Here is an 11,872-nt window from a genome sequence, read left to right as displayed (position 1 = left end):
TTCATATGTTTGTTTATTAATAGGATTTTAAAAAAAATGAACATCTTTTTAAAGCTGGGAAATGTATATAAATTCAGGTATCAGTATCAATAATAGACTGTTTCATTGAAAGAATGAAAAGAGGCCAGGTGAAGTAGTAATTTATAAATTTAGTATTTGCAGTGGTTCACGCCTGTAATCCCACCACTTTGGGAGGCCGAGGTGGGCGGATCACGAGGTCAGGAAATCGAGACCATCCTGGCCAACATGGTGAAACCCCATCTCTACTAAAAATACAAAAATTAGCTAGGCGTAGTGGCATGTGCCTGTAATCCCAGCTACTCGGGAGGCTGAGGCAGGAGAATCGCTTGAACCAGGGAGTCAGAGGTTGCGGTGAGCCGACATCACGCCACTGCACTCCAGCCTGGCAACAGAGCAAGACTCCGTCTCAAAAAAGTGAAAAGAGATTCAACCAAGAGGACAGCTCTGGAGCAGAAAAATACATGTTTATAGGATGCGATTGTTTCAACTTTCTTTTTCCATTTTAAGAAGATTCCATTTCGGAAGAAGATGCCGAAATTTACAAATTTCGCCATACTCAGTGGGACTCTCAAGTAGACTTTCATAGTTGCAGTCACTTCAGGTCTCTCCCTCGGGTTCCCTTAGGATGCAAGCACAAGAACAGACACCTGGTCAGCATGGTGCTGAAACCCCTTTCTCTTCACTGTCATGGTGCGAGAAAAGCATGCCATGTCTACGAGTAGGATCTCTTCACGGAGGACCTGCAGCTTCATCTTCTGGATTGGAGATTATTCTTGGTTATGTTTTGGAATCAGTCCTTTATCTTAGTGTGCACTTGATTGTGAGTTTTAAGATTATGGTTTTAGGATTTCTTTTATTTTTTGTCTTTTAAATTGTTCTTTAATGGATTTTAAATGTCTGTATCTAATGTGGGTATTAATGCTTTTTGGCCAAGTGGATTTTAAGAAGTGAAACTTTTTTTTTTTTTTTTTTTTTTTGAGATGGGGTTTCACTCTCTCACCCAGACTGGAGTACAGTGGGGAGATCTCAGCTCACTGCAGCCTCTGCCTCCCAAGTTCAAGCGATTCTCCTGTCTCAGCCTCCCAGGTAGCTGGGATTAAAGGTGCCCACCACCACACCTGGCTTTTTTTTTTTTTTTTTTTTTTTTTGTATTTTTAGTAGAGACAGGGTTTCACCATGTTGGCCAGGCTGGTCTCAAACTCCTGACCTCAAGTGATCCACCTGCCTCGGCCTCCCAAAGTGCTGGGATTACAGGTGTGAGCCACTGTGCCCAGCCCAAACTTTTAAGATGACCCAAAGTCGTGAGAATAGGAAAAAGGAATCTGATTAACATTTATGCATTTTATTTTCAGAAGGACTTTCAGTTATCCATAAATCTAAGCATAACTGCTACCATTTATACATGAGAAAATGACAGAGGAACTAATATAAGAGCAGATCTTGACCCTTGCTGGGTCACTATAATTCTTTAGAATTACTGAGTGAACTTTAAAAAAATTTTCTGCATAGGTTATATCCCAGACCACTTAAATCAGAATATCTTGGATGGAACCCAGACATCAGATTATTGTATTTTCCCCCATAATTTAAAGTTCAGTCATTAAGCTGTTACATCCCTCTGAAGTTGATTGTCTTATATTCCCGCTATGAGATATCTCAAAGATTCTTAATCAAGAGTTTCAGAGTTTAGAAACTCGGATGTTGGGCAAGTTAGGAAATATTCCACCAGCAAAATTAACATTACCAGCCATCTCTGCAAATGCTCCTGAACTGCTGACAGTTACGGCATCAAACGGAAGACGGCAGGCCCTGTCCTTCCACTCAGGTGCTGCTTGCAGTGCTCCTCAACAGAGGGAGAGTCTCCCTAAGATTTCCATGTTCCTAGACAAAGTCCTAAGCTGTTTGGAAGTCTGTGAGCATTTTCAGTATATGAGGAGCTGAGAAAGCGCTGCCTGTCTGGTCCTTCATTTGGCCAGCTAACATTCTGTCGAGCACCTGCATTGTGCTGGATTCATGCTTCCAGATGTGAGATGTGTGTTCTAATCTGACAGTGTGTTTTGTAATCTGTCAATCAGTGTTGGAGATATGCCCAGGCTATTACAGGCATATTATGGACAAATATAAAGGCCAACTAGTGATCCCAGCCCAAGAGGTTCAGGGAAGTCTTATGAAGGATTTGTCTCAGCTGAGCCTGACAGGACAAGCATATAGAAAGACAAGAGGGGGAGAGAGCAGGGCATTCTGCAGAGGGGACCGATGGCAAGAGCAGCTGCATGGGATGTGTGAGGAAATTTGCCACTGTGATGTGTATGTGGGGTAGGCATGGGGGTGGACAGGGGTGACGGGCTCCACAGAGACAGGATGGTGGAGGGAGTTGTGTGCAGTTGAACTTGATCCTGTAGTTGGTTTTGACCTGGTGTGGTCCCTCCATGCTGTGGAAGTGAAATGTGAGGGAACAGGCCTGGGGGCAGTGAGGGAGACAGGACAAGCCTTTCATCTAAAAGGTGGCACAGAGCTTAAGGCCAGGGAAGAAGGTATGAAGAAAAGGTGATTGAGAACTAATTACCAAGGGAAACTGGCAAGACAACTGGATGCGTGTAATCCGAATGGTCATAATGAGACAACAGCTAACACTGAATGCTTGCTGTGTGTTTGGCACTCTGCTAGACGTTTTACTGGTATTAACCGATTTAATCCTCACAATAACGAAGTATGTACTACTATAATTGCCAGTTTACAGACGAGAAAACTAAGGCACAAAGTTTAACTTGCCCCAAGCGACAGAGTGGATAAGTAAAAGGGCGAGGACTGGGACCCTGGTACTCTGAATGAAGAGCCTGTGCCTCCCTCTCTCCCCTAACAGTTTTAAGGAGATACAATTTACCTGCCACAAAATTTACCCATTTTAGGTTTATACTTAGATGGTTGTTCAGTAAGTTTATAGAGTTGTGCAACTATCACAACCAATGTTAGAACAACTCAAAAAAAAAAAAAATCTTATTCCAGTTTGCAATTAAGCCCCATTTCCATTTCCACACAGCAACTGATCGGCTTTCTGTCCTTCAGGTTTGCCATTTCTGAACATTTCCTATAAATGGAATCAGACATGGTCTTTTGTGTCTGGCTTCTTTCACTCAGTAATGTTTCTGAAGTTCCTCCCTGTAGTGGCATCTATCAGTAATTGCTTTCCTTTTTATTGCTGGGCTGAATGCTGTTCCATTGTATGGCTGTGTCAGATTTTGTTTGTTCATTCACCAGTTGATAGACATGTAGATTGTTTTCATGCTGCTGTGACCATTTGTGTACAAGTGTTTGTGCAGACATATGTTTAACTTTTTAGGAAATTGCCAGACTGTTTTCCAAAGAAGCTGCACCATTTTACATTTGCACCAGCAATGTAGGAGGGTTCTGATATCTCCACGTCCTCACCAACACTTGTGATTATGTGTCTTTTAAAATTATAGCCATCCTTGTGGATGTGAAGTGGTAACTCATTGTGGCTTTGATTTACATTTCCTTGATAGCTAATGATGAGCATTTTTCATGTGCTTATGGGCCGTTTATATACCTTTGGTGAAATGTCTATTTAAATCTTTTGCTCACTTTTCAGTTGGGTTTTTTTTCTTATTAAATAGTAAGAGTTCTTAATATATTCTGGATACAAGTCCTTTTAAGACATGATTTGCAAATATTTTCTCCCAGTCTGTGGCTTATCTTTTCCTAATGGTGTCTTTTGAAATGCACTTGTTTTTAATTTTAATGAAGCCTAATGTATTAGTTTCCTTATACGAGTTATGCTTTTAGTACTGTATCTCTCTCTGCTTAACTAAAGGTCACAAAGATTTTCTCCTATGTTTTGTTCTGGAAGTTTTATAGTTTTAGCTCTTAAATTTGGGCCTGTGAGCTGTTTTAAATTAATTTTTATATATGGTATGAGGTAAAGATCTAAATTCCTATGGATATTCAGTGGTCTTAGCACCATGTGTTAAAAGGACTGCTTTTCCCCACTGTGTCCCTGTCAAAAATCAACTGAACATATATGTAAGAGTTATTTAAATTTTGAAATTGGGACGTATACATTCTCCATTCTTTTTGACATTATTTTGGCTAATCTGGGTCCTCTGCATTTCTGTATAACTTACAAGGTCTGGTTGTCAGTTTTTGCAAAAAGGCCTGCTGGGGTTTCCATAGGGAATGTTTTGAATCTATAGATGAGTCAAGGAAGAACTGCCATCTTAACAGTATTGGGTCTTCCGATTTATAAACATGGAATGCCTCTCCATTTATTTTGATCTTTAATTTCTCTCAGCAATGTTGTATAATATCAGAATATGTCTTGTACTTCTATGGTTAAAATTAGTACTGCTTTCTCTCGTGAATGGAGCTGTTTTCTTCAGAGCCTTTGCTCTGAAACATCACGCTCCCCTGTATGGGGAGAAGAAGGGTCAAGATGGATTTCTGCAGTTCCTGCGTTGGGCAGTAGGGTGAAGAGTGGGGCCATCATCTCATAAAAGGAATTCAGAAGGTGCTGGTTTAGGTTTAGTGGGAAAACGACTTCTGTTTTGACATGTAGAGTTTGAAGATTAGGAGATTGACAGATGATGTTGTCTGACAGGTGGTTGGCTGTCCCAGAGAGAGATAGAGACTCCCCAGCATGTAGGGGGCAGAGTCACAAGAGTGCTGGCCTGGGAGATATGCCAGCCAAGGTGGGGCACCTGGGACAACAGCACAGCTGAGCCGCAGACACGAAGACATTTGTTAAGTTATCAGCCACGTCTGCATCACAGACTACAGGTACTACCATTTAGCGGAGTTATCTTTGAAAAGACATCAACATCCCTGTGCATTTGTCAGTCTGGTAGAGTGGACTGGAGGTTGTCAAGTCTGCATTGTAGTCTGAGTGTGCCACATGTTAGCAATGTGACCTTGGGCCACACACCTCTTCTGGGCCTTACTTTGCTCTGCTGTAAGGTGTGGGCATTTAAGAGGTACCAGAGGGAAAGGAGCCTCCGAAGGACTCGCAGGGGCAGTCGCAGCTGATGTTTGAGTGCCCTGGGATGGGAGTCAGACTGGCTGAGGTTTCAATTTTGCATTCATGGCCAGCCACCGTTCCAGGTCCTGTTGAGATCATCATGTAACAGGACAACAAAGTCCCTGTCCTCATGGGGCTTATATTCTGATCCATTTCCTCATCTATGAAATGAAGATTGTAGTTTTTATTTCATAGAGTCATGAAGATTGAGTTAATCTCTGAAATATCCACACAGTGTTGTCACTCAGGAATGATTTGGAATGTTAGGGATAGTCACCCACCACCACAGTGCTAGGTTTCAGTGACCAGGAGCGATGTGGAGCTGAGTCTAGTGGGAGTCCAGAGGTAAAGACACAGTAAGGTCACATGTGACCCAGGAGGGAGGAGGCACAGGCAGGGCAATCTGAGGAGACTGTGCCATGGCTGGAGGAGCAGGGGCTCCAGGAAGGAGGCAGCATCTGCACTGGAAATGCAGCAGGAGGGCCCAGTGAGGGAGGCCTGGAAAGTCCACTTGGACTTGACAATGAGGAGCTCTCTGCTGTCACCTGCTGTGATTCCTAGAGTCAGAATCAGACTGCAGTGGCCACAGGCACAAGTGGGAAGTGATGCAGCTCAAAGGTTTGGATGAGATGGGATGTGCAGCGATTGAGTCGTAGCTGGAGCGAAGGATGTGCTAAGTTAGGGATTGGAGGGGCGTGCATTTACATGGGAAAGTAATGCTAATTAGAAATCAGTTGGACTTCAACATTCTCAAGTACTTCCACAAAGCATCCCTTGGTTTTATTCCAGTTTGTTGCTTTACGTATTTGTAAGTATTAAACACCAATTACTAAATTATCTGTAATTCAGATTTGTCATTTGGAGGAAAATCAACATAATCTGAATATAAAGCAGGCAGCATTGAGAAACTTCTACGTATGTGAACATCATTGACTTCGTCGAGCAGTGATTTAAAGTCTGCTCCACATGTAGTAAACAAAGAGGAGATGTGATTTAGAAATAGCATATGTGGGGCCAAGCACAGCGGCTCATGCCTGTAATCCCAGAACTTTGGGAGGCTGAGGCTGGTGGACCACCTCAGGCCAGGAGTTTGAAACCAGCCTGACCAACATGGCAAAAACCCGTCTCTACTAAAACTACAAAAAACTAACCAGGCATGATGGCGCACACTTGTAATCCAGCCTACTCAGGAGGCTGAGGCAGGAGGATCACTTGAACCCAGGAAGTGGAGGTTGCAGCGAGCCAAGATCGCGCCATTGCACTCCAGCCTGCACAACAGAGCTGGAAGGAACAGTGGAGATGATGGAAGGCAGCGGACCTCAACCCTGCTGCAAAGAAGAATCCCCTGAAGTTCTTCTAAAAATACTGATGTTCAGGCCCACCCAAGACCAACTACATCGAATCACTTGTATTTTGGTTTAGAGAGAAGGTCTTGCTCTGCTACCCAGGCTGGAGTGCAGTGGCACAATCATAGCTCACTGCAGCCTCAAACTCCTGGACTAAAGCCCAGCCTCCTGCCCCAGCCTCTTGAGTAGCTGGAACTACAGGCATGAGCCACCAAACCCAGCTAATTTAAAAAGTTTTTATTGTAGTGGTAGGGTCTTGGTATGTTGCCCAGGCTGGTCTTGAACTCCTGGGCTCAAGCACTCCTCCCGCCCCAGCCTCCCAAAGTGCTGGGATTATAGGCATTAGCCACCACGCCCAGTCATCTTTCTTTATTCTTCTAACTCCCATATCTTCTGTTACTACCAGGAAATACCTTAAGATGATATTAGGAGATTTTTACTTAGAGGTTTTGAGTAGGACAGTGGAAAGAACACAGGCTTGAAAACAAATTTGGAGATGAGTCTCAGCTTCTCTACTAAACTGCATGGGACGTCTGGCTCATGAATGAGGTAGGGAAAACGAGGCCTTCCCTGCAGGCTGCTCTGAGGCTTCACCGAGATGATGGACGCGTCTTCCGGTGCCTGGAACAGATGCTCAGGGAAGGCTAAATGATGAATTTAAATGTTCACATAGGGGAAGGGCTAATGCCATTCATATTTAAAAGGCCTTTCTTCCCTTTAGACTTATAAAGTGCCCCCAGATGAAATATGGGCCAAGAACGGTAAAGGAAAATGTAGAAGTGCAAAGTTATTAAGCATGTTCTACATCATCATTAGATAAACTGAAATGGAAACAATCATGGGCAAAGATAATGCTGTTCACGCCCCGCTAGGGAGAAGAAGACTGCATTCCCAAAATGCACCACTTTGTAGCCTCAGAATTTATGTGAATATTGTTTGGTCCAGCAATCCTATTTCTATGGGCAGAAATACAAGTGAGAAAAGATATATGTAAAAGGATGTTTGTTGCACCTTTTTTTTTTTTTTGAGACAGAGTCTCACCCTGTTGTCCAGGCTGGAGTGCAGTGGTGTGATCTCAGCTCACTGCAACCTCCGCCTCCTGGGTTCAAATGATTCTCATGTTGCACTTTTTTTAAAATAGAGAAAAACTGGAAATAAGCTGAATGTCTGTCAGTAGAGGACAGGTTAAATTATGGTACATGCACATAGAAGAAAACCGTTCACCCTCTAAAAACATGTAGGTCACTTTCTATGTACTGGCATGGAAAGAAACCTCTCATTTATTGCCAAGTGAAGAAGAGCTACAGAACAGCATTCACATCTACCTCCCCTGCCTATCCATCCTGACAGCCTCTGACCAGGCTTGGAGCATTACGGTGCCAAAGGTCCTGACTGGACTGGAAAGGGGAGTCGTTGACATGAGCTTGAGGTTCTCCTGGGCCATCAGGAGGGGCGTGAGCTTTGTCTGTGTGAAGACTGGGAGGCTTCTTAGGACATGAAGATCTCAGGACTGATGGTCAGGCACCTGGGATGTGAGAATCAGCCACGGTGAAGTACGGCAGGGAGCTGCGTTGGGGAGAAAGGGGGCAGGGCCCAGGTAGGTGGGAACAGACGGGAGTGGGACAGGATGCACAGTCCCCACGTGGGCACCGCTCAGGTGACAGCCATAACCAGCACTGACAGAGCTGCAGGTGGAACTCAGCCAGCCTGGTCCTCAGGGAGGGTCTCGCAGTGCTGTTCCCTCCTCGACAGTCTTGGTCTTTCCATCTGGGGAGGAAGAAGTGGTGAGAGAACTCAGAGGGGTGACCGGGGGTGCCCTGAAACCAGCTGGTGGTCAGAGGCCCGGGAGTCCTGGAGACCAGGGGACACCACCAGAAGCACACGGAGTGCCCACGGCCAGGGCGGCAGGGAGATGAAGGCACTTCATTGTGTCCGCCATTGAAGCTGAAGGTCAAAGTGATGCTGGGAGCGTGAAAGCTCAACAAGCAATAATCCTAGTTTTTGAAAGGCAGATATCGCAGAGATGGGAAGACCTCAAATCATGGAGGGAGCCTCAGATCAGATGCCTCCTGTTCCCTTCCTGCTGAATAAATCGATGCTGGACTTAAAGGTTTCTTTTTTAAAGCATGGGAAGCCAATCTTTTTATCCCTGGCCAACCCTGATCAGAAACAATGAGAAGGTGTTTATTGATACCAGAAAGGAGGTGGAGGAGGTTTGAAACTCTGACCCATCTTTTAAAAATCACTGGGTGATCTACTAGTCCAGGATAGCCTGTTCTTTTGGATTTCATGAGTTGCTAAAATGCTCTCTGAGACGTGGGGTGCTGTCACAAAGTTGTCCACTCTTACTTTGTCAAGAGTATTTACTGTGAAACCCCTTCTCTTCTAAAAATACCAAAAAATTAGCTGGGTCTGGTGGCGTGTGCCTGTAGTCCCAGCTACTCAGGAGGCTGAGGCAGGAGAATTGCTTGAACCTGGGAGGCGGAGGTTGCAGTGAGCTGAGATCGCACCACTGCACTCCAGCAAGACTCCATCTCAAAAAATAATAAAAAACAAAATTTTAATATATAACACAATTTAAAAATACATAACAGAAGAAAGAAGACCATAAACTCAAAAGCAGTCCTTTACATTGAACATATTTACCCTTAAAAAAATCCTCTTGCGCCGGGTGTGATGGGGACATCCTGAGGGTCCACTGACAGCCGGCCTTTCACTCTACCACCCTGTGTGTGGGACACTGGTCAGGTGAGGCCAGGTTCTTTTTGGCCTCTTCATGCTCAGGCGACGCTGGCCAGGTGACTGGATTCTAGACGGGTCCATTGTCCCCGCTGCTGCCACCACACTTTATCATAAAAGAACTTCTGGGCTTCCCTGTGTTAGTCATTTCTTATCTCAGCTTCTTCTAAGTTCTCGATTCTTCCTGTACTTCCTCTGGCTTCTCTAAGGCTGAACTCAGAGATGATAGTGAATTTTTAAGAATATATTGTACAGTTCCCTTTTCAGGAGCCTGATTAAACTCACACACTCCATCTGGTGCTGCAAAACTTGCTTCAAGCCTGGATTACTTCTCTGAGGTTATTTCCAAAAATCTATTCATAAATTAATAGTTATGGTATGTTTATTAGTTTCCAGGACTTCTAATAGTATATTGATTCTGGGCAGAAGCTTTAGCAGCCGGTTTGGCTAAAGAATTTAATTTTCTACAAACCACACACTCTAATCACATCATCTGGTATCGAAACACACACAAGTTCAGAGGCCCTCGAATGCTCGATGAAGACAAGTCCAGCATCATCTACTGATCTGTCTGTGGTCTCACGACTCGGCGGGACCAGACCTCACCTTTCCCAACTCCTGCTCCATCCCAAAGCCGACCAAAGGCCACAAATGAAGAAAACAGCCGACACTATGCATGCCCCCTGCCTGCAGCCAGACAGCCCACAACTTAAGCGAGAGGACAGAGGCGAGGTATTAGATTGGTGCAAAAGTAATAGTGGTTATTTATATAAATGCAAAACCAACCGACAAGCCCAGTCAGGAATATTCAAAAAATGATATTTTGGCCCAGTTAATATGGGTAAAAATAACCCAACAAAACTTAGGTCTCAATGCATTGCTGTGTACAGCATATAGGTGATGACGTCCCCATGTCACACATTTGTTCATTCACCGTAACGTTATGGACCATCTACCATGTGCCAGTGAGTGTCCAGCAGAATAAAGTTAAATTTTGTTCACTATCCTCCTAAACAAGACCCTAGGCTGGGCGCAGTGGCTCACGCCTGTAATCCCAGCACTTTGGGAGGCCGAGGCAGGTGCATTACCTGAGGTCAGGAGTTCAAGACCAGTCTGGTCAACATGGCGAAACCCTGTCTCTACTAAAAATACAAAAAGTAGCCAGGGGTGGTGGTGGGTGCCTGTAATCCCAGCTACTCAGGAGGCTGAGGCAGGAGAATCACTTGAACCCGGGAAGGTTGCAGTGAGCTGAGATCACGCCACTGCATTCCAGCCTGGGAAACAGAGCAAGACTCCATCTCAAAAAAACAAAAACAAAAACAAAAAACCAAAAACCAAGACCCTAGTGGAAGCCTTCAGTTAACACTTGCTTAGATGATTTCAATAAATTTCTACTCAGTCTATCTCAAATCTTACCCTTAAACCCCGATTTGGGTTATGTCATTTTCCTGCTTAGAAACCTTCAGTGGCTGCCCCCCACATCAAATTAAATATGCACCACTCGTTCCTCCTGGCTTCCAAGGCTGTCGTGATGTCACTTGTGAACCTTCTTTGCAGCAGGCTTTTTCTGTGTCTGCTGCCTGGGGCCCCAGGGCCTCCTTGGAAATGACTTGAAGGTGGAGGGTTTGGGGGGTAGTGAAATTGCAAGTTTCTGTGCAAATAAGGAGCTTTACTGGCTTAAGAGATCAGCGAAGTGGAACGAACGGCTGGACTCCTAGCCTTGTGGGTTGCAGGTTTTCCTGGGTGTATTTTCAAAGGCTTGATCCGTGTTCCAAACCCCACCGTACCTGCCCTGCAGTGGGAAGAGGACCTTGCCAGTGTGCACAAAGTACACCACCCACCTGCCTACGGGCAGAGGCACAAGGCATGGTTCACTACGAGTGCTTCTGTGTCCTGTCTCTCTTCTCTGTTGCTGTGTACTCCCCTCCCAAATCTGAGACTCTCACCGCCTTGTACCACTTATCTTGCGAACCCCAGCATCCTATCTACATTTAAATAAGGGTGTCAGATCTCGTGTATGGATCTCTATCCAGTGGCCGAGGTTTTTCATAAAACTCTTCTTACCCAGTTTCAGGTTACACAGAATATTTTAGGAAAGGGTTCATTTGAACTGGAAGTGAAACTATACTATCTATTACCCAAGTCACTGATTCTGAAACTTCACTGTGCACACAAAGCACCTGGGGACCTTGCTCCAAAGTCTGATCCCATAGGTGTGTGATTTGCTTCTAGACTCTGTATTTCTTATAAGCTCCCGGTGCAGTTGATGCTGCTACTCTAGGGACCACAGTGTGAGCGAGAAGGATCAATGCCAGGCTTCCTGGAACAGTCAGGAAGAAGTTCAAGTTCCCCAGCCCCACCTCGGGCTGTAGTGAGCGGGGCAGAGGCCCCAGCTGAAGAGGCAGCTGCACGCTGCAGTTCCAGAGCACAGAGTGGTGTCCTTTGCAGAGCTCGCAGAGATGCAAGAGATGCTGTCTGTCTTCCTCCGTGTCCCAGCAGACTTCGTTTATTTCACAGGCTTAGAACCTTTGGAGGCTCTGGTCTGGCTGTTGGAGATGATGCTTCTCATCCTCAGAAGGCTATTTAGCAAGTTCTGGGGGGAAAAGGGTAAATGGCTGCCTTTGGGGGTTTCCTGGAGCAGCTTCCAGCGAGGGGAGAAAGCACCTGTTGACATTTGCTCCCTAACACCTCACTTTTCTTCCCATCTTGCATGCAGATAGGCCAAAGCATGTTA

At 45.0% G+C, this 11,872-nt stretch overlaps 3 annotated features.

Moving 5' to 3' along the window:
• Positions 7,687–8,187: an enhancer, noted in NCBI's record as "H3K4me1 hESC enhancer chr10:11493719-11494219 (GRCh37/hg19 assembly coordinates)". NCBI's record gives its function as "activates a minimal SCP1, AML or CMV promoter by ChIP-STARR-seq in primed H9 embryonic stem cells {active_cell/tissue: H9 hESC(primed)}" and the evidence as "EXISTENCE:reporter gene assay evidence [ECO:0000049][PMID:30033119]".
• Positions 11,068–11,187: an enhancer, noted in NCBI's record as "active region_3013". NCBI's record gives its function as "activates an Ori minimal core promoter by ATAC-STARR-seq in GM12878 lymphoblastoid cells {active_cell/tissue: GM12878}" and the evidence as "EXISTENCE:reporter gene assay evidence [ECO:0000049][PMID:35858748]".
• Positions 11,518–11,657: an enhancer, noted in NCBI's record as "active region_3012". NCBI's record gives its function as "activates an Ori minimal core promoter by ATAC-STARR-seq in GM12878 lymphoblastoid cells {active_cell/tissue: GM12878}" and the evidence as "EXISTENCE:reporter gene assay evidence [ECO:0000049][PMID:35858748]".

This window comes from Homo sapiens, chromosome 10, assembly GCF_000001405.40.
Source record: "Homo sapiens chromosome 10, GRCh38.p14 Primary Assembly".
Taxonomy (NCBI): Eukaryota; Metazoa; Chordata; class Mammalia; order Primates; family Hominidae; genus Homo; species Homo sapiens.
The sequence above is the reverse complement of the archived record's forward strand: the minus strand, read 5'-3'. Positions and strand labels throughout refer to the sequence as shown.